The sequence below is a fragment of the Homo sapiens genome, chromosome 17, assembly GCF_000001405.40.
Source record: "Homo sapiens chromosome 17, GRCh38.p14 Primary Assembly".
Taxonomy (NCBI): Eukaryota; Metazoa; Chordata; class Mammalia; order Primates; family Hominidae; genus Homo; species Homo sapiens.
Window position 1 is genome coordinate 78,301,015 of NC_000017.11, and position 22,652 is coordinate 78,323,666.

At 54.3% G+C, this 22,652-nt stretch overlaps 1 long non-coding RNA gene across 1 annotated transcript in view, besides 10 other annotated features; it reads left to right on the forward strand.

The window, feature by feature from the left end:
- Positions 762–1,280: an enhancer, noted in NCBI's record as "H3K4me1 hESC enhancer chr17:76297857-76298375 (GRCh37/hg19 assembly coordinates)". NCBI's record gives its function as "activates a minimal SCP1, AML or CMV promoter by ChIP-STARR-seq in naive H9 embryonic stem cells {active_cell/tissue: H9 hESC(naive)}" and the evidence as "EXISTENCE:reporter gene assay evidence [ECO:0000049][PMID:30033119]".
- Positions 7,364–7,586: a silencer, noted in NCBI's record as "fragment chr17:76304459-76304681 (GRCh37/hg19 assembly coordinates)". NCBI's record gives its function as "represses an EF-1alpha promoter that drives an FKBP-Casp9 reporter gene in an ReSE screen in K562 erythroleukemia cells {active_cell/tissue: K562}" and the evidence as "EXISTENCE:reporter gene assay evidence [ECO:0000049][PMID:32094911]".
- Positions 12,984–13,453: a silencer, noted in NCBI's record as "silent region_9056". NCBI's record gives its function as "represses an Ori minimal core promoter by ATAC-STARR-seq in GM12878 lymphoblastoid cells {active_cell/tissue: GM12878}" and the evidence as "EXISTENCE:reporter gene assay evidence [ECO:0000049][PMID:35858748]".
- Positions 14,119–14,877: an enhancer, noted in NCBI's record as "H3K27ac-H3K4me1 hESC enhancer chr17:76311214-76311972 (GRCh37/hg19 assembly coordinates)". NCBI's record gives its function as "activates a minimal SCP1, AML or CMV promoter by ChIP-STARR-seq in naive H9 embryonic stem cells {active_cell/tissue: H9 hESC(naive)}" and the evidence as "EXISTENCE:reporter gene assay evidence [ECO:0000049][PMID:30033119]".
- Positions 14,391–14,590: an enhancer, noted in NCBI's record as "active region_12889". NCBI's record gives its function as "activates an Ori minimal core promoter by ATAC-STARR-seq in GM12878 lymphoblastoid cells {active_cell/tissue: GM12878}" and the evidence as "EXISTENCE:reporter gene assay evidence [ECO:0000049][PMID:35858748]".
- Positions 14,554–14,848: an enhancer, noted in NCBI's record as "tiled region #6493; HepG2 Activating non-DNase unmatched - State 4:PromP, and K562 Activating DNase unmatched - State 5:Enh". NCBI's record gives its function as "activates a minimal TATA promoter and a strong SV40 promoter by Sharpr-MPRA in HepG2 and K562 cells {active_cell/tissue: HepG2 | K562}" and the evidence as "EXISTENCE:reporter gene assay evidence [ECO:0000049][PMID:27701403]".
- Positions 14,661–14,710: a silencer, noted in NCBI's record as "silent region_9057". NCBI's record gives its function as "represses an Ori minimal core promoter by ATAC-STARR-seq in GM12878 lymphoblastoid cells {active_cell/tissue: GM12878}" and the evidence as "EXISTENCE:reporter gene assay evidence [ECO:0000049][PMID:35858748]".
- Positions 14,702–22,652, forward strand: part of LOC105371912 (uncharacterized) — a 30,662-nt gene continuing 22,711 nt past the window's right edge. Inside the window, exon 1 of the long non-coding RNA NR_188632.1 lies at positions 14,702–14,774. This is a non-coding gene — a long non-coding RNA (uncharacterized LOC105371912). The remainder of the gene's footprint in view (positions 14,775–22,652) is intronic.
- Positions 16,013–16,082: an enhancer, noted in NCBI's record as "active region_12890". NCBI's record gives its function as "activates an Ori minimal core promoter by ATAC-STARR-seq in GM12878 lymphoblastoid cells {active_cell/tissue: GM12878}" and the evidence as "EXISTENCE:reporter gene assay evidence [ECO:0000049][PMID:35858748]".
- Positions 16,514–16,808: an enhancer, noted in NCBI's record as "tiled region #775; HepG2 Activating DNase unmatched - State 4:PromP, and K562 Activating DNase unmatched - State 5:Enh". NCBI's record gives its function as "activates a minimal TATA promoter and a strong SV40 promoter by Sharpr-MPRA in HepG2 and K562 cells {active_cell/tissue: HepG2 | K562}" and the evidence as "EXISTENCE:reporter gene assay evidence [ECO:0000049][PMID:27701403]".
- Positions 21,325–21,868: an enhancer, noted in NCBI's record as "H3K4me1 hESC enhancer chr17:76318420-76318963 (GRCh37/hg19 assembly coordinates)". NCBI's record gives its function as "activates a minimal SCP1, AML or CMV promoter by ChIP-STARR-seq in naive H9 embryonic stem cells {active_cell/tissue: H9 hESC(naive)}" and the evidence as "EXISTENCE:reporter gene assay evidence [ECO:0000049][PMID:30033119]".

Below are 22,652 nucleotides of genomic sequence, written 5' to 3' on the forward strand. Positions count from 1 at the left end.
GCTACATGTCTTCTCTGGGCCAGGAAACGAGGTCAGGCCTCCTCATTCCTTCCTGGGCCGGCGGGCTCCCTTCACCTCATCCTGTTCCTGGGTTATTCGCTTCTGACGCGAGGCCCTAGGGCCACCCCAGCTCCACATCGGCCTGTCTTCTCTGCGCCCTGTGGCTGACTCAGCCCTGAATCACCTCTTCCACCCCAGGTCCTCTTCCCGGGAGAAGCTCCACCATGGGTGCCATTTCTCCTTGTCCCAGGCTTTTCTTGCCTCTGGGGACTCCAAGCCCTTCTCCGGGGGATTTCACCCAGCTGCTGTATATGACTCTCTGTCCCCTCTCTGGGCCTTAGTCTTCTCCTCTGGTAAAAAAGGATTCACCTTGATGCTATCTAAGTCCCTCGAATGAGACTCTGGGGACAGGAAGTATTTCAGTCGATGTCGTCATGTTGCCAGCTTCACGGGGACCAACCAATGGGCAGGGGAAGGAAGGAGGGCCACGCCAGTGTGTCTCTTGTCCTGGCTAGGCATAGGGTCCCAAGCCAGAGTTGGGGACAAGCTGACCAAGCAAACCTCTTGGGGTGGCTGCTCCTTTCCCAGGGAATCCATGCGAGAGGGTGGCCAGGGTCTGCAGGCAATGCCACCGGGCCACTGTGGATGGGAGCCAGTGGACTTCCAGGAAGGGAAGCTAAAGATACCCTCTTCCCGGCATAGCCCAGAAAGGACCGGGATCTAGTTCCCTGTCCTGTTGTCTCTGGGGGCAGGGGTGGTGACCCTGAGGGCCCTGGAGCAGCTATGTGGGGCTGGGCACTTCTGGGGGCTGGAGTCTGGGACCGGGCATCTATTGGCCGAGACTCTGGACCGGTGGGCGAGGGCAGGGCAGGGTGGGTGAATTACTGGAAGCCCCACTGGCTCTGTCTCTCTGCCAAGCTGCCCACTGCATTCTTTGGCCTCCTATTTCCAGGCAGTGTCTGGGATGGGTCCCAGGCCTGGCCTGCCCTGCACCGGGGAGTCCGTGTTTGGAGTCAACTGAGCTACTGCTTAGGGCGGCAGCTGAGGTGGGTGGGTGCAGCTTGGACATGATGCTATCAGGGACGCTGGGTACCTGGAACAAGGACCGCCTCTCCCTAGTGCCATCCTGGGAGCTCAGGTGACCTGGGAGGGAAGGGACATGTGTGAGTGCCTGTGTGTGCGCAAGCGTTCATTGTGGGGGGTGTGCACGTGCGTGTGCACACGCTAGCATAGGTGGCTGCGTTGAGACGAGGGGTCACAGGCCCGCATGTGCCCGAGTGTCCTAGGATGTGTGGGTGAGTGCAAACCTTGGGCAGGCCCTGTCTTCTCTAGACATCCCCGTCTGGTGGGGTGGCCAGAGGGGTGGCATGGGCAGTTTGGGTCTGGATCCCTAACCCACAACCTGCCCCAGGGCAGCTGCCCAGAGTGCTTATGCCAGAACATCTCCAAGGCCGCCAGACGTTGGGATCGCATGTGCCACTGCATTGGCTGTCCCCACCCCCATCCCCACGCCTCTGCCCAGGGACTGTAGGGTCGGCGAGAAGCAAAGGCGTGCCCCCATGCACTCTGGTGGCTGCACCATGGACACTGAGGTTGATGCCTGGGGTTTTCTTAGTTTTTTTTTTAATTTTTAAAATTTAATTTTTTATTTACTTATATTTTTATTCTATTATATTTTTATTTAATTATTTGTTTTTATTTAATTATTTTTACTGTGCTCAAATATACATAACATAAAATCTACCATTTTATCACATTTATTTATTTATTTATTTGAGACAGAGTTTTGCTCTTGTTGCCCAGGCTGGAGTGTAGTGGCATGATCTTGGCTCCTGGGTTCAAGAGATTCTCCTGCCTCAGCCTCCCAAGTAGCTGAGATTACAGGCGCTTGCCACCATGCCCAGCTAATTTTTGAATTTTTAGTAAAGACAGGGTTTCACCATGTTGGCCAGGCTGGTCTTGAACCCCTGAGCTCAAGTGATCCACCTGCCTCGGCCTCCCAAAGTGCTGGGATTACAGGCATGACCCACTGCGCCTGGCCGTTTGTTTTTGAGGTGGAGTCTTGCTCTGTTGCCCAGGCTGGAGTGAAGTGGCATGATCTCAGCTCACTGCAACCTCTGCCTCCCAGGCTCAAGCGATTCTCCTGCCTCAGCCTCCCAAGCAGCTGGGATTACAGGCACCCACCACCACACCTGGTTAATTTTTGTAGTTTTAGTAGAGATGGGGTTTCACCATGTTGGCCAGGCTGGTCTCGAACTTCTGACCTCAAGTGATCCTCCTGTCTCGGCCTCCCAAAGTGCTGGGATTACAGGTGAGAGCCACCACACCTGGCCCCATTTTTACCACTTTTAAACGTACAGTTCTGTGACATTAAGCACATTCCCATTGTTGTGCAACCATCACTATGACCCATCTCCAGAGTGCTTTCATCTTCCCAAGTGAACGTCTGTTCCCATTAAACACCAATGCCCCATTCCCCCTGCCCCCAGCCCCTGCCCCCACCAATCTGCTTTCTGTCCCCACGAATCTGACTGCGCTAGGGACCTCCTGTCAGCAGAGTCACACGGCATTTGTGCACGGCATTTGTCCTTTTCTGCTGGGCTTATGGCAATCAGCACAGCGTCCCCAGGGCTCACCCATGCTGCAGCCTGTGCCTGGGTTTCTCTCCCTTCCAGGGCCGGCTGCTCCTCCGTGTGAGTTTCTCCGTGTCGTTTCCCCACTGATCCGCAGGTGGACACCTGGGCTGCACCTTCTGGCTGCAGTGAGGAGCCTAGATGTTAAGCCTGGCACTGGACAGTGGTGGGCACCTGGGCACGTGATGGGACCCCCTGAGTCTCACTTTCTTCAACTATGGGGCAGGATCTGTAACGGTTCTGGTGGTTTTATTTATTTATTTATTTATTTTGAGACAGCGTCTCGCTCTATCGCCCAGGCTGGAGTGCAGTGGCGTGAACTGGGCTCTCTGCAACCTCTGCCTCCTGGGTTCACACCATTCTCCTGCCTCAGCCTCCTGAGTAGCTGGGACCATAGGCGCGCACCACGCCCGGCTAATTTTTTTGTATTTTTAGTAGAGACAGGGTTTCACTGTGTTAGCCAGGATGGTCTCGATCTCCTGACCTCGTGATCTGCCTGCCTCGGCCTCCCAAAGTGCTGGGATTACAGGCGTGAGCCACCGTGCCCAGCCACGGTTCTGGTGTTTAAGTGAGGTCAGGCATCCTCTGGGAGGTCAGCCGTCGTATTGGGTTCCAGGCCCGTGACTACTCACGGGAGGAGTGAGCTGGGCCACTGACTCCGTCTCTCACAAGCCTGGAACTGGGGAGCAGGAGAATCCCTCACCTCGTGGGGCTGTGGTGGGGACACTTGTGTGGGATGCAGCCAGCTCAGGATAGGGGCAGCGAGGACCAGGCACGAGTGGGAGGAGCGGGGCCCTCAGGGCTCTGTAGGGTTCTTGACTTTTTCTCGCTTCTGTGGCCTCCTCCTATCTCCTTCCCTAGGGCCCCACCTGGCCTTCCGAATCCTCTCACGGGGCATATCAGATCTACCCCAGCTGCCTGACCGGGAGAGCATCCTGTTCTTCCCCTCTGGAATTCCGGGTCCACAGCTGTCTTCCTACTCACATCTGGCCTCGGCATTCCCGCCAAGCCCTCCCCTTGAAGCACAAGGATGTTTTGTCCAGGATCCTGAGCCCAGGGCCTTCCAGGTGGCAGAGAGAGATCCGGATGTCCAGCCAGCTCTGGGGGTTCCCCCATCCTGCCAGTGTGGGGACCTCCTTGCTGTAGCCAGGTCAGGCCAGCCCTAGGGAGACAGCAGGATGGTTCCAGGAAGCCTGGGCCGCTCCCCAGATCAATGCAGGGACGGACAGCAGCCAGCAGGCTGGGCCACGGCATCAGAGCTGGGGTCAAGAGGTTTCTAGCCCTCTTGTGGCTCTCAGCCCCGGGTCCTGGCTGCTTCCTGCTGGGCAGTGACCTCCCCAGTCCATTTCCCTCCCTCCTTCCTCCCCTGGCCTGAGCTCAGCTCATGGAAGGAGGCCCTGTGTGCAGGAACCTTGATCTGCACCTCTGAAGGATGTCAGGGCAGCTTTTTCTCTGGGCCTGTATGACTCAGCGCAGGATTTAGGGCAGGTGGCTCCACCGTGGAGCCTCAGTTTCCTCATCTGGATGATGTGGGTGGACAATACCCAGTGCAGGATCCGTCCAGGCTTACATGAGACAGCAATATAGAAGCCTAGCTGATCACGGCCCCCAACACACCTTAACCCCTTCCCACTCCCCAGCTCCCCATCTCTAGACCGAGGGAGCCAATTAGGCTCTCCCGCAGCAACAGGTGGTGAGATAGAAGCTTCGAGGTGGAGGTAAAGAGTGAGGACTGTGCAGCAATGAGGAGTGGCCCAGATGGGTCTCCCTCCCTTCCTGTGCCACTTCTGCAGGCCCCAGTGCCTGAGGGGTCCAGGGCCCTATTTGGAGAGCTCCATGGTGGAGGAGGCTGCTCCTCCTTCCTGTGGACCACTCCCTGTCCCAGGGGCTGCTGACCCTGCTTCACTGCCTGGTGGTGGATGACGAGGTCATTATGAGATTAGCACACACTCCAACGCTGGGTGGAGAAACTAGGGTGGGAGCCGAGATCTTCTCCAGCTAGTTCATGCCCTGAACAACATGAGAAGGAAGCTGGGGATGGTCTCACACTTTGAGCTTCTCCCACCTGTCAAGGTTCCCTGTCTTCCTTCCAGAGCCCTCTTCCAGCCCCTGCAGCCTCTGTCCCCACTGCCATCCCTTGTGTGGTGACCAGTCTCCAAGATGGCCCCCCAGATCCTTGTCTCTGGTATTCATGCCCTTGGGTAGCCCCTCCCACACCGAATCAGGCAGATTCACATGACTTCAGGTCTAGGGCATAAAGCATCGCCTCTTCCATCTGGTCTTTCAGCTCAGATACTCTGGGGGAAGCCAGTCACTATTCCACGAGGAAGTTCAACTACCCCACGGAGAAGCTCATGTAAAGAGGAACTGAGGCCACCAGCCAACAGCTGCATGAATGAGCCACCTTAGAAGCGATCCTCCAGCCCCAGTCAAGCCTTCAGATGACTGCAGCTCTGACCACCATCTCACTGCAGCCTCATGAGAGACCTCAGGCCAGAACCACCCAGCCAAACCACTCTTGAATTCCTGACCCACCAAAACTGTGAGAGGTAATAAATGATTATTGCTTTAAATGACCAGGTTTTGGGGTGAACTGTAATATAGCCAAAGTAACCAGAATACCTTGGGAAATTGTACCCCGACTCATTGAGAAAGGCATCCCGGTGTGTCTCCTCTCTGAAAGCTCAGTCCTCTGCAGGCTGCTGTGTTAGTTTTCTATGCTGTGCAACACATTATCACGCACTCAGGAACTAAGACAACACGCACATTTACTATATCACAATTTCTTCAGGTCAGAAGTCTGGAAACTGGCTGGGCATAGTGGCTTATGCCTGTAATGCAAGCACTTTGGGAGGCCAAGGGAGGAGGATTGCTTGGGGCCAGGAGTTCAAGGCCAGCCTGGGCAACATGGTGAGACTACACCTCTACAAAAAAAAAAAGAAAAGAAAAAATTAGTTGGGCATGGTGGTGTGTGCCTGCAGTCCCAGTTAGGAGGCTGAGGCCAGGGGATCACTTGAGCCTAAGAGTTCGAGGTTGCAGTGAGCAGTGATTGTGTCACTGCACTCCAGCCTGAGTGACGACAGCCTGAGTGACAGAGTGAGACTCTGACTCTTAAAAAAAAGTTAAAAAAAAAAAAAAAGGATAAGTCTGGAAACTGCTTTACTGCATCCTCTGTTTCAGATCTCCTCAGGTTGCAAACAAGGTGTCAGCTGGGCTGGGTTCTCATCTGGAGGCTCAACCGAGGAAGGCTCTGCTTCCAGAGCCATGCTAGTTATTGTCAGATTTCATATTCTTGCTGCTGTGTGCCTAAGGGCCTGAGGTTTTTGCTGGCTGGAGGCTGGAGACCACCTGCAGTTCCTAGAGGCTGCCAGCACTTCCTCACCTCATGGGCTTCCTCAATGTGGCTGCCTACTCCACCAAGCCAATGAGGAGGATCTCAGTCCAGTCAGCTAAGTTGGAGTCTTTTCTAATGTAATGTAATCATGAGAGTGATGTCATCATCTTTGCCGTGTTCTATTGGCTAGAAGAAACTCCTAGGCTTTGCCTACATGCCCAGAGGAGCTTACCCAAGGGTGACTGCTTGCAGTCATTTTAAGGTATGTCCACAGTTACTGATGGGGGTTTTCTTTGGCCAGAGCCTTGCTGGCTCTAAAGAGGGAGAGGGTCTCTGCCTCATGACTGGGTGCCCCATGACATGCATTTCCTGATCTCCATCCAGTTTTCTACAGCAGTGAGAGCTAAGAAGACTGGTTTCCCAACAATTAGGCTTTTTTCCCAGTTAAGATGGAATAGTCCCATTTGAATCATGCACGTTTGTTGGTTAACATGATTCTAACCCAATTCCTACAAAATAATGACTCTGGTACCACAATTGAGCTTACTGTGTGCCAGACACCAAATTAGGTACTTAAAAAAAATTGAGATGCAATTCCATTACGTTGCCCTGGCTGGTCTTGAACTCCTGGGTTCAAGTGATTCTCCAGCCTCAGCCTCCCTAGTAGCTGGGATTACAGGTGAGCGCCACCATGCCCGGCCTAATTAGGGACTTTAATTCATTATCTTATTTAAGAATCACAACAGCCTTATGAGTAGGTATTATTATTTTCAGGGAATATTCCTTCTGAGGCACGGAACACACAAGTGAAGTGTCCAAGGTCAGCTAATAGCTGTCAGCCAGGGCTTTTTGAAGCCAGTGTAAACTGCCCGAAGCAATTAGCAGGAGGTTGTATCACTGGCTCCCATGCAGAAACACAAAGGCTTAGAGCTGGGCCTCAGGCACAGTTGGATCTAGATTCACCAGTGATGTCACCTGGAAACTGTCCCTCTCCATCTCCCAGGTCGGCTTTCCTCTGCCATAGCTTCGCCCTCAGGCAGGCTCTCTCTAGCGGTAGCAGAAATGGCTGCAGCCAGCTCCAGGAAAAGGCCGGGGCTGGATGGCCTTGGCCTGGTTGGGTCTTGTCCCAACCGGGTCTGGACCAACTAGGGTGTGCATGCGGTGTTTGACCAGCCCTGAGCAGGTCAGGCCCATCGCTGAGCCACATACAGCAAGAGTGATGAAGGGGTAGAATCCAAGATGCTTCCACAAAGAGAAGAGAAAGTGGGTGCTGAGCAGGCAACAGCACTGGATGGCAGCCTGGGGACAGAACTAGATTCCAATCCAGTTCCATCTGACTCCAGGGTGCTGCTGTCAGTCACTGTGCTGAGAAGAGTCCCGGGTGTGGCCAGGACCTGTACTGGGTGCCAAACTCACTCCCAGGCGAGTCCTTCCCGGAAGGGGGGCACCGTGAAGGCACAGGCCCTCTGTAGAAAATAGGACACGGGCGGGGGAACAGCTTGCTTCTTTTTTTTTTTTTTTTTTTTTTTTTTTTAGAGATAGGATCTCACTCTGTCATCCAGGCCAGAGTGCAGTGGCATGATCATACCTCACTGCTCCCTGGAACTCCAGGGCTCAAGTGATCCTCCCATCTCAGGTTTCCAAGTGGCTGGGACTATAGGTGCAGCACGTCACCATGCCTGGCTAATTTTCTTTTCTTTTCTTTTTTTTTTTTTGAGACCGAGTTTTGCTCTTCTCGTCCAGGCTGGAGTGCAATGGTGTGATCTCCACTAACTGCAACCTCCACCTCCCGGGTTCAAACAATTCTCCTGCCTCAGCCTCCCAAGTAGCTGGGATTACAGGCACCCACCACCATGCCCAGCTAATTATTGTATTTTTAGTAGAGACAGGTTTTCACCATGTTAGCCAGGCTGGTCTTGAACTCCTGACCTCAAGTGATCCACCTGCCTTGGCCTCCCAAAGTGCTGGGATTACAAGCATGAGCCACCACACCCAACCTTTTTTTAGAGACAGGGTCTCACTCTGTTGCCCAGGCTGGCCTCGAACTCCTGGGCTCCAGCGATCCTCCCACCTTGACCTCCCACAATGCTGGGATTACAGCATGAGCGTGAGTCACCGTGTCCGGCCTGAGGGGCAGCTTTCTTTCCATGCTAGGGAGAGTAGAGCAGCTGAGTTAAGAATGGCTTCTGTTACCAGCTTTTCCATGACCAGCAGTTATTGCTTGGGAGGATTTGGGATGCTTCTTGTTGCAGGATTTAATCCCTGCAGCAGCCCTGGCAGGTAGGAAACATCACCACCCCCATCAGGAGGGAAGCTCGAGGCTCAAAGTCCTCCAGACCCAGGAGTCATGGGTCTTAATCCCTCACTTAGAGAGGAGAGAACTGAGGGCCAGGGAGGGGAATGACCCCTGAGCTTCCTGTCCCTGTCCTGGGTACCTCTGGTCTCACCTCCAGTCTCCTTTGATTGACATTGTATTTTTAGATGGGTAATACATTCATATGGTTCAAAATTCAGTCGTGAAAAGAGTTTACTGAGAAATGTCTGTCTTTGCGATCGGCCGAATAATGGGCCCCCAAAGGTGCCCATGTCCCGATTCCTGGAACCTGTGACTATGTCACCTTATATGGCAAAAGGGACTTTGCAAATGTGATGAAGCTTAGGCTCTTGAGATGGGAGATTATCCTGGATCATCTGGGTGGGCCCTAAATGTAATCACAGGGGTCCTTCTAAGAAGGAGGTCTGAGAGATCCCTGCCTGCTGACTTTGAAGGTGGAGGGAGAGTGTCTTAGCATGAGCTGCCAGAACAAAATTCCACACTGGGGGCTGAAACAACAGACACTTATTTCTCACCATTCTGGAGGCTGGGAAGTTCAAGGTCAAGGTTGTGGCTGACTCAGTTCCCCGTGAAGTTTCTCTTCTTGACTTGCAGAGTTGCCTTCTTTTTATTTTTTTTTTCAATTATTTATTTATTTATTTATTTTTTGAGACAGAGTCTTGCTCTGTTACCCAGGCTGGAATGCAGTGGTGCGATCTTGGCTCACTATAACATTTGCCTTCCTGATTCAAGCGAGTCTCCCGCCTCAGCCTCCCGAGTAGCTGTGATTACAGGCATGCGCCATAACGCCCGGCTAATTTTTGTAGTTTTAGTAGAGACGGAGTTTCACCACGTTGGCCAGGCTGATCTCGAACTCCTGACCTCAAGTGACCCGCCCACCTTGGCCTCCCAAAGTGCTGGGATTATAGGCCTGAGCCACCATGCCCAGCCTTTATTTTTTACTTTTTGAGACAGGGTCTCCTTCTGTTGCTTAGGCTGGAGTGCAGTGGCACAATCACAGCTTACTGCAGCCTCCACCTCCTGGGCTCAAGCAATCCTCTTGCCTCAGCCTCTGAAGTAGCTGGGACCACGGGCACACACCAGCACACCCAGCTAATTTTCTTATTTTTTGTACAGATGAGGGTCTCACTATGGTGCCCAGGTCGTTCTGGCCTCAAGACATCCTCCTGCCTCAGCCTCAAGAATTGCTGGAATTATAAACATGAGCCACTGCACTTGGCTCACAAATCGTTTTTTAAAATGTATGTTTCCAGGCCGGACACAGTGGCTTACGCCTGTAATCCCAGCACTTTAGGAGGCCAGGGTGAGAGGCCGAGGTGGGCGGATCACCTGAGGTCAGCCTGGCCAACGTAGTGAAACCCCATCTCTACTAAAAAAAAAAAAAAAAATGCAAAAATTAGCTGGGCGTGGTGGTGGGCACCTGTCATCCCAGCTACTCGGGAGGCTGAGGTAGGAGAATTGCTTAAACCCAGAGACAGAGGTTGCAGTGAGCCGAGATCGTGCCACACTGCACTCCAGCCTGGGTGACACAAGACTCCATCTCAAAAAAAAAAAAAAAAAAGTACGTTTCCTAGCATATTTTATGGACATGAAAGCAAATGCTTGCATATACATATACACTTTCTTCTTTCTTTCTTTCTTTTTTTTTTTTTTTTTGAGATGGAGTCTCGCTCTGTCGCCCAGGCTAGAGTGCAGTGGTACAATCTCGGCTCACTGCAACTTCCACCTTCTGGGTTCAAGTGATTCTCCTGCCTCAGCCTCCTGAGTGAGTAGGTAGGATTATAGGTGCATACCACCACACCTGGCTAATTTTTATATTTTTTTAGTAGAGATGGGGTTTCACTATGTTGGCCAGGCTGGTCTCAAGCTACTGACCTCAGGTGATCCGCCCACCTCAGCCTCCCAAAGTGCGGGGATTACAGGCATAAGCCACCACGCCCCGCCAAACTTTCTTCTTTCTACCCCCATACAAATCATAGCATGCCATACACACTCTTCCGCACCTTGATTTTTATCCCTTAATATGTATTAGACTGTCAGACTGTCCTCTATCAGCCTTGAAAGGGCTCTCGCTCTCTCCCTTCCAGTGTTCCTTTGGACAGATGCGCCAGCACCTATGTGCCCCATTGCTGCATTTTGCACTGTGTACCTGTCAGGGTTCTGTGCAAGGCGAATCCACCTCAGGTGGTTCAAGCCAAAAGGGATTTTAACATAAGGAATCAGGAATTCATAAAATCATTGGAAAAGATTCATGGGCTTGAGAAAAACAATCACTGGGAGAGATGGAAGGTCAAAGCTTTCTGGGGTAAGGCCACGCCTCCACCACAGTCCCCGATCCTCCCCACTCCCACACCCACAAATCAGGCACTGAGATGGCAGAATGGGAAATGGAGCCACTGCCAACCAGTGCTTCTGCTGGAACCCACTTTCATACCCATGCAGCTGCAGAAAGACAAGAGTCTGTCTTCCTTCCACTTTCCAATCCCACAAGAACGCATTGATTTGCAGAGAGAAAGTCACATCTAGAGAGAACCTGGGAAAGAGTTTCTAGCTTTCCCACTGCTGTGGTCTGAATGTAACCCCCATCATAACTCCATGCAATAGTGTTAAGAGGTGGGTTCTTTGGGAGGTGATTAGGTCAGGAGAGCTTCTCCCTCGTGAATGGGATTAAGACCTTTATAAAAGAGGCTTTGAAGGCTGGACGTGGTGGCTCACGCCTATAATCCCAGCACTTTGGGAGGCTAAGGCTGGCAGATCACCTGAGGTCAGGAGTTCAAGACCAGCCTGGTCAACATGGCGAGACCCGTCTCTATTAAAAATACAAAAAGTTAGCTGGGTGTGGTGGCCCAGGCCTGCAATCTCAGCTACTCGGAAGGCTGAGGCAGGAGAATCACTTGAACCTGAGAGGCAGAGGTTGCAGTGAGCTGAGATGGCGCCACTGCGCTCCAGCCTGGGTGACACAGGGCGAGGCTCTGTCGAAAGAAAGAAAGAGAGAGAGAGAGAGAGAAAGAAAGAAAGAAAGAAAGAAAGGCTTTGTAGAGTGTTCAATTCAGCTCATTTTTTGCCCTTCCATCCCTTCTGCCCTGTAAGGATGCAGTGTTCATTCTCTCCGGAGGGTGCAGCACCAAGTCACCATCTTGGAAGCAGAGAGCAGCCCTCACCAATACCAAACCTGCCAGCACCATGATCTTGGACTTCTCAGCCTCCAGAACTGTGAGAAATACATTTCTGTTCTTTGAAAATTACCCAGTCTAGGTATTTTGCTAAAGCAGCATGAATGGACCAAGACACCAACCATCTAAAAAAAAGATTAAAGGAGCTGATTCCACCAGCCAGCATCTTGCTGATCTTCCACACCATGGCATAAAAAGCAGCAAGAGCTTTCACCTAATGCTATACAACTGTGCCCCAAACACACACACACACACACACACACACACACACCCTCTCCCCAGAATGAAAAACCTGATGTTCTGATCAGTCACTCTCCAGCTGTGGGTGGTGCTCACTCCTCTTCTGGGCAGAAATCCCATGAGATTAATTAAAGTCACCCATCCCCAGGGCCCCCAGAGGCATAAGTATCATTTGCAATATAGATTTTTCCAATAGTGCCCTCTTGGAATTGTGCAGTGTGCAGCCTGGACAACATTATGTGGTGACCCTGGGTCCTATACTTTATGTAGAATAGTAAGGAAAAAAAAAGAGGGAAAAAAGGAAATTAGTTAACATAAACAAAAATGAACAGGATAAAGGGGAAAGGTGTATGGTGGTCCCTCACTCTGCCATAGTTTCTACTGATAACTTCCTCCTTCCACCATCTAGCCATAATCCCTCCCCCTTGGCCAGCACCTCATATGGTCGTGGTTCTACCTGGGGTAACCCCATCTGTATATAATACAGCCGTCCCGCTGCAGGCCAGGTCGTGAACCAAGCTTGCAATAGGAGATACCCGTGACACAGCCCCTGCCCTTGAGAGGAGTCTCAGGCAGTAACAAACACAGGCCACTGGCTGGGCATGGTGGCTCATGCCTGTAATCCCAGCACTTTGGGAGGCCAAGGCGGGCGGATCATTTGAGGTCAGGAGTTCGAGACCAGCCTGGCCAACATGGTGAACCCTCATCTCTACAAAAAATACAAAAATTAGCTAGGTGTGTTGGCGCGCGCCTGTAGTCCCAGCTACTTGGGAGGCTGAGGTGGAAGAATCACTTGAACCCGGGAGGTGGAGGTTGCAGTGAGCCGAGATGGCACCACTGCACTCCAACCTGGGTGACATAGCAAGACTCTGCCAAAAAAAAAAAAAAAAAAAAAAAAAGCTGGGGGAAGGGTGAGCGTAGAAAATAGTTGTAGTTAAGAGACGGGGTTGGCTGGTTCAGCTTCCAAAGTCTAGGATTTGGTATCTGATAGTAAGAGCAGTGGCCAATGCGGGGGTCTCCAGGCAGGGCCCTAAGCACCGCGCCAGGTTAATGCTCCTCGCAGCTCTTGGGCAGGACTGACTGTTGGAGGCTTGTCCAGCAGAGACAGGAATGAGGGGACCGAGGACCCAGGCATGATGGGGCGGGGGCGCGGGGACCTGCAGCCCAGCGGGCTCGGACGACCTCGGACCCCCGCCGCTCCACGGGCAGGAAGGGAGCCCGGAGCGGCGCGGGTGCGCATTGATCGTGGTGCGGATGCAGCCGCTGCGGCGCGGCCCCGGCTTCTCTGCGAGCCCGTGCCCGGGCCGGGCTGTCGGGAACTCGGCCCGGCTCCACTTGCTCGCGCTTACTGGAAACGTGCTCCCGAGCGGCGCAAGGCTCGGCGGCTGGAGCCCGGGGCGGCCCTTGGCCGAGGGCAGGGCCGAGCCAGGTGCTCGGGCGCCCCAGGCTGCCGCGCCCTGCTGGGCCACCCTGGGCGCGTGCCACCCCCGGGGACCCGTCCCGTCCTGAGGGCGCCCAGGGCCTCCCAGCGCCGCTCTCCCCAGGGTGAGCGGGAGGAGGGAGGGAGCTGGGGGCAGCCCGGGGAAGCCGTGGGGCGGGCTTTCAGCAGCTGCGAGGCGAACCCGCCTCCCTTCCCGGTATTCTCGCGGCCACCCGGTGGAAGGTGGCGCCACGCCAGGGCCAGGCGGAGGCGGGGAGCCAAGCCCGCAGCCACGCCCTGCCCAGGGCGCAGGTGGGCTCGGCTGGAGGAGGTGCTGGGGGTGGGTGTGTCTCCTGACACAGGAAGAGCTGCCTCCTGGCTGCCCCAGTCACAGAAATGTTTATTGAGCACCTACTAGGCAAGGTGCGACCACTGCAGTGGGGGTGGGGGCACTTTTCTCCCCGGGCGTGTATATTTATTTATTTATAAACCATAGGCACTTTATTACTGGGTTTATATATTATGTATCCATAGAAGTTGAGATTTAAAGAGGATGAATTAAAAAATAGAAACAGAGGGGTTGTTTTCCTTTCCGTATGCCAGTGAGTTGTCTTATACATGTCCCACTTTGGAGACCTGGGTTTAGTGGCTGTATCCTGCTGGGCGCCCCCCTCCCCAGAGCTGGAGACAAAACCCCCACCCGCCCCCTGGTTCACGTCATCCTGCCTCATGAGGCCCAGGGCTGAGCTGTTTTCGGGGCCCTGGTCTCGGCTTCACAGCCTGCAGTGGAGTGTAGCAGATGGCAGACTAGGGTAAGTGAGGATGCCTTGAGATCTGGGTTCAAATCTTGCGTCTGCTGCTCCCTGGCCCAGTGACCTCGCACCTCTCTGAGCCTCAGTTTCTTCTTCTGTAAAATAAAGGGAGTGGCATCTCCCTCTTGCCCGGAGGTGGGCCTGGGGGCTGCAGGCTGCCCTCCTGATCTGCTCTGCTGCCAGATGGGCACAGATAGGCGGGGGGATGACAGCCCTGAGTGAACCCAGAAGGCAAAGTGGTTAGGAACACACCCCAGAGGCCAGGCAGGGTCCTGCAGGGTCCTGCAGATTCAGAGAAAGAACCCATTTATCCTGGGGTTTGGCAGAGATTATGGTTCCGGTAAAGGGTGGTCATTAGTAAAGTCCATGTCATGCAGCCGAGGGCCTGTGGGAAAGGTAGGGTTCAAGGAGGAGTTAGTGGGAGAGGAGAGTGAGGAATCAGAGTTGGTCAGTCAGACAGTCAGTCAACAAACACAAACTGAGCATGGCCTCTGTGCCAGGCATGGTTTTAGGCTGTGGATAACCAAGGAGCTTGCTCAGCAGCCTGGGGTTCTTTGCAGCCCAGGGTGTCCCTGTCAGGAGTGGGCACTGTGTCTCTGAGGAGCAGTGGAGTCACCTGCAGGCCAAGGCTGGGAAACCCTCAGGAGTGTGGGGGAGGCCACCCCCTGAGGTGTGGTCCCCCCCTGGGTAGAGAGTGACTCAGGCCCCGCCCAGCCTCCCCACTGCCTGGGTTTGGTTTGTTTAAGAACAAATTAGTCACAGAGCAGGCAGCTTTCCCGAAAATAAAATGAGAATCCCCAGGAAACAGGGAAAATGGAAGGCGGGCGGTGAGTCAGCACGTGCTGCCCCCCGGGGCTCCAGTTTCCAAAAGGGCCTCCTGCCCTGCTCCTCCTCCTCCTCCTGGGTCTCTCTCTTTCTCTTTTACTTTTCCTCTGGTCCCCTGTTGACTTTTTCCCTCACCGAACTCACTGAATCTCAGTCCTCACACACGCGCACCCACTCACTTCCTGCCCCTTATCGTTTCCCTCCCTGCATCTGTCTGTCTGTCCAGCCTCGATCTGTGCACCCACTGGCTCCTTTGGTGTTTACAGAGCACCTACCAAGTCCAGGCACTGTGCACCACGGGAGGGAGTGGGGAGGCAGAGAAGGCCTAGGTCTCTCCTCCCAGAGCCCTTTCTTGTTGGAAAAGGAGACTTGTGCCGGGATGTGGCCAGCCACGGCCGCGCCTGGGTCCCCTTCCCCAGCCCCTGCTCCTGTGGTTGGTTCCCCCGGATGGACAGAGCTGGGCCCCCAACAGAGAACGATGCTTGAGGATCCCATTCCAAGCCAATGCCGTCTCTGCCTCCCTCCCGGCTCGGAGCACAAGGCCTGCACGCTGAGGGCGAGTGCGTGGTGGAGCAGGAGCTTCGGGGCGGTGTTTCTCACCCAGCCATGTCTCCCCTGCCCAGAACCGGGCATCAAGGGGAGTGAACTGCGGGCTGTTTTGAATTTGAGGGACAAGCTTGGTTGTCCCTTGTTCCCTGCCTCCCCATTCCAAGCCTCCTGTGGCAGAAGGAGGCCAGGCCATATCTTGAGGGAGGATTCTGGGCGTGCCTGCTTCACCCCAACAGCCCAAGGTCAGGGGAGGGGCTCCAGGCCGCAGGGGGTACAGCAAGGGGAAGCCACTCAGGCCCCTTCCCATCTGGACAAGTCCCTGAGTGCCAGGGCCCTTTGACTCTCTCCTGTCTCCCTCCTCCCCCATCTCCCAGCTAGAATCCAGGCTCTCCCACCACCCTCTGGGACCCCTGGGGCCGCTCACTTTCCAGACCCCTCTAATTCGGGCACTGGCCCCTCAGGAGCCGGGGAGGTGGCCCTGTGCCTGGGTCATGGGGCTGGGCTGGGGTCTCCTGCCTCTCGGGTCACTGTCCAATCTCTGTCTGCAGCTCTCGATGAATAATTTAGTTGTTCGAATTACAGGAAAGAGCTATTTAGCTTCCCTTCCCAAATCGTTAAGAGCTGATGATACAAGACGTCTTGGTTCCTTCTAAGGAAAGTCCCTTTCCCAGTGAAACTGAGCCTTGTGGGCGGGGATTTCTCCCCCTCCAACTCCCTCACCAATCATTAACCAATATCCGACAGTAATAGGGTTTTTTCTTTTTTCTTTTTTTTTTTTAAGCTCAGCTATATATATTCTAAAGTATATGTCAGTTCTTGGGAGCAGGGAAGTATAACTGATCTGAAGGGTGGGGTGGGGGTTCTGCTCTGGAAGGAGCCTTGGGTGAGCTAATGGTGACCCCAAGTCATAATTGCAGGTCCCTGGAGGGGATTTAAGATATAGGAAGTAGCACTTCGCAAGCCTGAGAGGAAGAAGCATGGGGTGTAAAACTGTTCAGGTGGTTCAAGAGTGCGTGTGCGTGTGTGCATGTGAGTGTGCATGTGTGTGTGAGAATGTGAATATGCACATGTATGCGTGTGCACGAGGGCGCACACGTGTATGCACAGATGCACACGCATACCTGTGTGATTGTGCATGTGTGCGCTGTGCATGTACATATGTGCGTATGTGTGCACGTGTGTGAGTGTGTACGTGTTTATAGGAGCATGACTGCCTGAGCGGCATGGCTGGAATGTGTGGACCGGGACCAGGTGGGGGTTTGCAGTGCAGGGACAGCACTTCTTGTTTTCAGAGCTGGGAGAGTTGGGGTGGGGAATCTGGGTAGGGCTGGCCTCCCAGTCAGGTGACTTGCAGGCAGGGAGGGGAGGGGCTTTAGGAAGTTCAGAGAGTGGGAGGGAGGAACAGGGAAGGGCAAGGGTGGGGACCTTGGCTGGAAGGTTCAATGCAAAGTGAGGCGACATCCAGGATTGAGCATTCTGGATCCTAGACCCAGGGATGGCTGGGAGGTGGGGCTCCCCTGGGTGAAGGAGCCAGGTGGGTGTGTGAGCCAAGAGTTAGCTGTGGCTGCCAGAGGAGGGGGCTGGAGACGAGGCTGCCAGCCTCAGCCTGGCTGAAGAGGACCTCCCAGCACCAGGCCAGGGGAAGGTGGACAGGTAGGGAGAGAAAAAGGAGGGAAGGAATGAGGACTGAGCTAGCAGGTCCCACACTTTGCAGGTGTGGTGAGGAGGAGAGAGGGAAGAAGGGGGACCCTCTGCAGTCCTGGCTGGCAGGAAGCTTGGCCTGTGCTCTGGCAAGCACACCCTGCCCTGCTGGACTCACTGGAGGAGTCTGTTCTCTGTGTGCCCGGCAGAGGGATAGACACGCATTTCCCACGACGTCACCCACCCCAGAACCACTTAGCCTGCAGCCTCCCCCAGATTCCCTGACTTCCCACCTGAGCAAGCCCAGCTGGCCTCCCGCATCCACTCAGGTGCCCTCCGTGTGTTGTCTTCCGGACAGGGGCACCCAACACAGGTGCAAGCAGTGCGTGCTAGGGCCGGAGAGGAGGACAGTGGAGGCTGCTCCCAGCCTCCTTTTTCTTCCGTACTCCCACCAGCACCTCCACCCCACCTCTGAAACTCCACCCCAATTCTGGGGAGTGTGGAGATGACTGAGGAAGGGGGGATATTTCCAGAGCCACTCCAACTGGTCCCAGATGCATCAGAGGGTGACCCTGGGAGGCCAGTCCTTAGGCAGCTGCCTAAGGACCCGACTCTGGAAGGGAACTCAGAGACAAATGAGGAGCAGACCAGCCCCAGCTCCGGGTTTGCAGATCTGGGCAGAGTGAGGAAAAGGCCGGGAAAGAAAAACCAACCCCCGGAATCTATCTCAGAGAAGCATCCGTCCAGGTAGAGAGGGACCCCAGCCCGACCGCCACCCTCACCCAGGGGAGAAGCCTAGCAGCTCCCTCTGGGTTGGGTGTGCATGTGTCATCCCACCAAAGTGTGCTGGGATTGGAATGGGCACGACCTTCCCCCAGAGAGATCGCCTGGGCAGCCCCGTAAGTGTCCAGGGGTCCCCTGAGAGCATTCTATGGTCCCAGCCTCCCACAGGAGCCCCAACAATGCTCTCTGGCTCCTCATCCTCCTTGGTGGCAGCTCCTCTCCCCACCAAAGGGCCATGTGGGTCCCAGCTGTGACCTCAGCACCCCTCAGCCAGATGTGGACCCGCCCCAGACTCCATCACTCTCTCTGCTCTCTTCACAGAAGAGAGGTGGAGGGAGGACCCCACGGGCCTCGCTGGTGGCAGGCGGTGGGGATGTAGCGGGGGAGTGTGTGGGGGGGGTTAGAGTTAGGACAGCAGCCCCTCCCCAAACCCCGATCCCTGAGCCCCAAGCCTGTCTTGGCTCCATGGGGCAAGGGAGGGGTAGTCAAGCCCCACAGAAGAGAGGCATCCCCCAGTTTCCATGGAGAAGGATCGGGGTGTCCTGATTTGGAGGCTTCCATGCTGTCTGCTGCTCCCTGTGGATACACAGTTGGGGCGCTCTCTGTTCCTCCCTAGTCCCTTCTCTCCTCCCTGCTTGCCTGGGAGGCTTGGGCAGGAGGGCACCTGGATGGTGGCCACTAGACAGAGCCCACCCCCCGCCGCTTGACCTCTGCCCTCTCCTGGGTGGGAATGGCAGGGCCCTCTTTGGTGTCAGGAGCTGGTGGCCTCTGTGGCCTCTGTCCCGCCCGCTCCCAACACCTGCCTTCCCTTCTCTGCTCCAGCTGCAGTCGGCTTCTGCCAATGCCCAGAACCTTGTAGTCTTTTGCCCGCTGGTTTTGCATGTGCTTCCCCTAGGCCAGAGGGCAGCAAACTTTCTCTGAAAAGGGCCAGGTAGTAAATATTTCAGCCTCTGCTTAGTGAGGAAGCAGCCATGGACCACTCACGAACAAGTGAGTATGGCTGTGTTCCAACACAACTGCGTACGCACACTGCAACTTGAATTCCGTGTGATTTTCACATCATGAAATATTCTTTTTTCTTTTGCTTGGTTTTTCAACCACTTAAAAATGTAAAAACCAGCCAGGCACAGTGGTTTACGTCTGTAATCCCAGCACTTTGGGAGGCCAAGGCGGGAGGATCACTTGAGCCCAGGAGTTCAAGATCAGCCTGGGAAACACAGTGGGATTCCGTCTTTACAAAAAATGAAGAAATTAGTCAGGCATGGTGGTGCACACCTGTGGTCCAAGCTAGTCAAGGAGGCTGAGGCAAGAGGACCCCTTGAGCCCAGGAGGTCAAGGCAGCAGTGAGCCATGATCACACCACTGCGCTGCAGCCTGGGCAACAGAGCGGGAACCTGTCTCAAAAAAATAATTAAAATTAAAATTAAAACATGTAGGCCGAGTGCGGTGGCTCACACCTGTAATCCCAGCACTTTGGGAGGCCGGGATGGGCAGATCATTTGAGGCCAGGAGTTCGAGACCAGTCTGGCCAACATGGTGAAACCCTGTCTCTACTAAAAATAGAAAAAAAATTAGCCAGATGTGGTGGCACACGCCTATAGTCCCAGCTACTTGGGAGACTGAGGCATGAGAATCACTTGGACTCAGAGGCAGAGGTTGCAGTCAGCTGAGATCGCACCACTGCACTCCAGCCTGGGCAACAGAGTGAGACCCTGTCTCAAAAAAAAAAAAGAAACTAAAACGTGTAAAAACCATTTTTTTTTTAGTGGAATCTTGCTCTGTTGCCCAGGCTGGCGTGCAGTGGCACAGTCTCGGCTCACCACAACTTCCACCTCCCGGGGTCAAGCCATTCTCCTGCCTCAGCCTCAGCCTCCCGAGTAGCTGGGATTACAGGCACGCACCACGATGCCGGGCTAATTTTTATATTTTTGAATAGAGATGGGGTTTCACCATGTTGGCCAGGCTGGTTTTGAACTCCTGACCTCGTGATCCACCCACCTCGGCCTCCCAAAGTGCTGGGATTACAGGTGTAAGCCACCGCGCCAGGCCTGTAAAAACCATTTTTTGCGGGCTGAACAAAAACAGGCAGCACGTTGGATTTAGCCTGGGGGCAGTGGTGGAGGTTTGCTGACCCCTGTACTAGGCTGCTCCATTGGGGAACTCTCTCAAGGTTCAGCGGAAGCCTCCCTTCCCGGACCAGGTGAGATGCCCCATAAGACCTGTACTGCCTCTCTTCTGGCAGGCCGCCTAGCACCCTAGGTGCTCAACAACAGTTTGTTTTGTTTTGAGACAGGGTCTCACTCCGTCACCCAGGCTGGAGTGACAGACCACGTCTTACTGCAGCCTTGACCTCCCAGGCCCAAGCAATCCTCCGGCCCTAGCCTCCCAAGTAGCTGGGACTACAGGCAGGCACCACCACACCTGGCAAATTTTTTCTATGTTTTCTTTTTTTTTTTTTTTCTGAGACAGTGTCTTGCTCTGTCACCCAGGCTGGAGTGCAGTGGCGTGATCTCGGCTCACCGCAACCTCCCCCTCCCAGTTTCAAGCAATTCTCCTGCCTCAGCCTCCCAAGTAGCTGGGATTACAGGCACGAGCCACCATGCCTAGCTAATTTTTGTATTTTTGGTAGAGACGGGGTTTCACCATTTTGGTCTGGCTGGTCTCAAACTCCTGACCTCAAGTGATCCACCCGCCTCGGCCTCCCAAAATGCTGGGATTACAGGCGTGAGCCACTGTGCCCAGCCCTTATTTTTTCTATTTTTTACAGAGATGAGGTCTCACTTGTTGCCCAGGATGGTCTTGAACTCCTGGGCTCAAGCAATCCTCCTGCCTCAGCCTCCCGAAGTTCTGGGATTGCAGGTGTGAGCCACTGCACCTGGCCTACTAGTTTGTTGATTAAAGGTGCTTCCTACACATTGTCTCCTTTGATCTTCACAATGTCTGAGCAAAGCATAGCAATTATCCCCATCCCTGTTTTTGTTTTGTTTTGTTTTGTTTTGTTTGAGACAGAGTCTCGCTCTGTTGTCCAGGCTGGAGTGCACTGGCACCATCTCAGCTCACTGCAACCTCCGCCTCCCAATTCTCCTGCCCCAGCCTCCTGAGTAGCTGGGACTACAGGAGTGCACCACCACGCCTGGCTAATTTTTCTGTTTTTAGTAGAGACGGTTTCACTGTGTTGGCCAGGCTGGTCTCGAACTCCTAACCTCAGGTGATCCACCCACCTTGGCCTCCCAAAGTGCTGAGATTTCAGGCGTGAGCCCCCACACCAGGCATATTATTCCCATTTTTTAAATTTATTTTTATTTATTTATTTATTTTGAGATGGAGTCTTGCTCTGTTGCCCAGGCTGGAGTGCAGTGTCGTGATCACGGCTCACTGCAAGCTCTGCCTCCTGGGTTCAAGTGATTCTCCTGCCTCAGCCTCCAAAGTAGCTGGGACTATAGGCGCCTGCCACCACGCCCGGCTAATTTTTTGTATTTTTTTTAGTAGAGACGGGGTTTCACCATGTTAGCCAGGATGGTCTCGATCTCCTGACCTTGTGATCCGCCAACCTCGGTCTCCCAAAGTGCTGGGATTACAGGCATGAGCCACCGTGCCCGGCCTATTATTCCCATTTTATAGACAAGGTAGTTGAAGTCTAGAGAGGTTAAGCAACTTGTCCAATGTCACCCCGCTGGCTGAGGCAGAGGCACAAAGGGAGTCCGCACACTGTTTTCCGGGCAGCTGGGCAGCTGGAGAGCCTGGCCTCTGTCCACTGGTCCAGGGCTTTAGGGGATGAGACCGGGCTGTTCCAGGGGTCCAGGGAGCCCAGCCTGCCTCCATCCCTGGTCTCAGGCTTGCTTGGGAACTGACGGGGGTGCTCCTTGACCTCCATCCACCGAAAGGCCCCTGCCCTTCTGTGGAGCAGCATTCTTTACGAGTCATTTCTAGGACTGGGCTTATGACTCCTGGTCTTCAGGGATTGAGTCCTGCCTTCTCAGTCATCCCAGGTCAGGGCTAGAGTTAGTGACTCTGATTCTGTAGTCCCTGGCCCACCCTTCCTGAGCCTTCCTTTGGAGCCATCACTTAGCCCAGCTGGGGCCAGTAACTGCTCTCTCCCCTGCCCCACCCCCAGCTGTGGACATGTCCCCATGGTCTCAGCCTCTTCTCAGCCCTGCTCCACTCAGCCTCCAGCCAGACCATCTCTGCCAGGCCTTCATCTCCCCATGCGTCAGAGGAGGATGACTGCCCGGCACCCTCCCACTCCCAGCGTCAGCCTGGGAATTGGGGCGTGCTCCTGGGCTGGGCCTGATGTACACGGTGTGCAGCTGTGGGCTCCCTCCCAATCACGGGGTATCTCAGGAGGTTTCTGAGGTTGGGGATGGGGGTGGCCCTCTCCTTTGGATTTGAGGCAGTGGCCCCAGGACCAGCGGGGTCACTCGGCTCAGCACTCCCTTCCAGTTCTTTCCCACAGAACATCCTGGCTTCAGGGATTCCCATCACGCGGCCAGAGTTCATCGGAAGTCCCCCTCCCTCATCCCCTGGAGGGAGGAAACAGACCAGGTCATCTGGCTGAGCGGGAGGAGAAGGCTCGGGTTCTGGGGAGGGGAGCCTGGGTGCGGCAGGGTCCAGGGACAGTTGGCATGGGCGTAAGTGCAGGTATAGAATTCCACATAGGGCCTCACAGCTTTGGGGGCCATGAGATGACAGCGTCACCAATATCAGTGATCATCACCTCCCATCCAGAGGCCGAAGAAGCAGGGCCCTGCCACAGGCAGCCAGGCTGGCTCTGCTGGGGGAACAGGCAGAAGAATTACAAGGAACCAGATGTGGTTCTTTTTTTTTTTTTTTTTTTTTTTTAAGATGAAGTCTTGCTCTTGTTGCCCAGGCTGGAGTATAATGGCACACGATCTTGGCTCACTGCAACC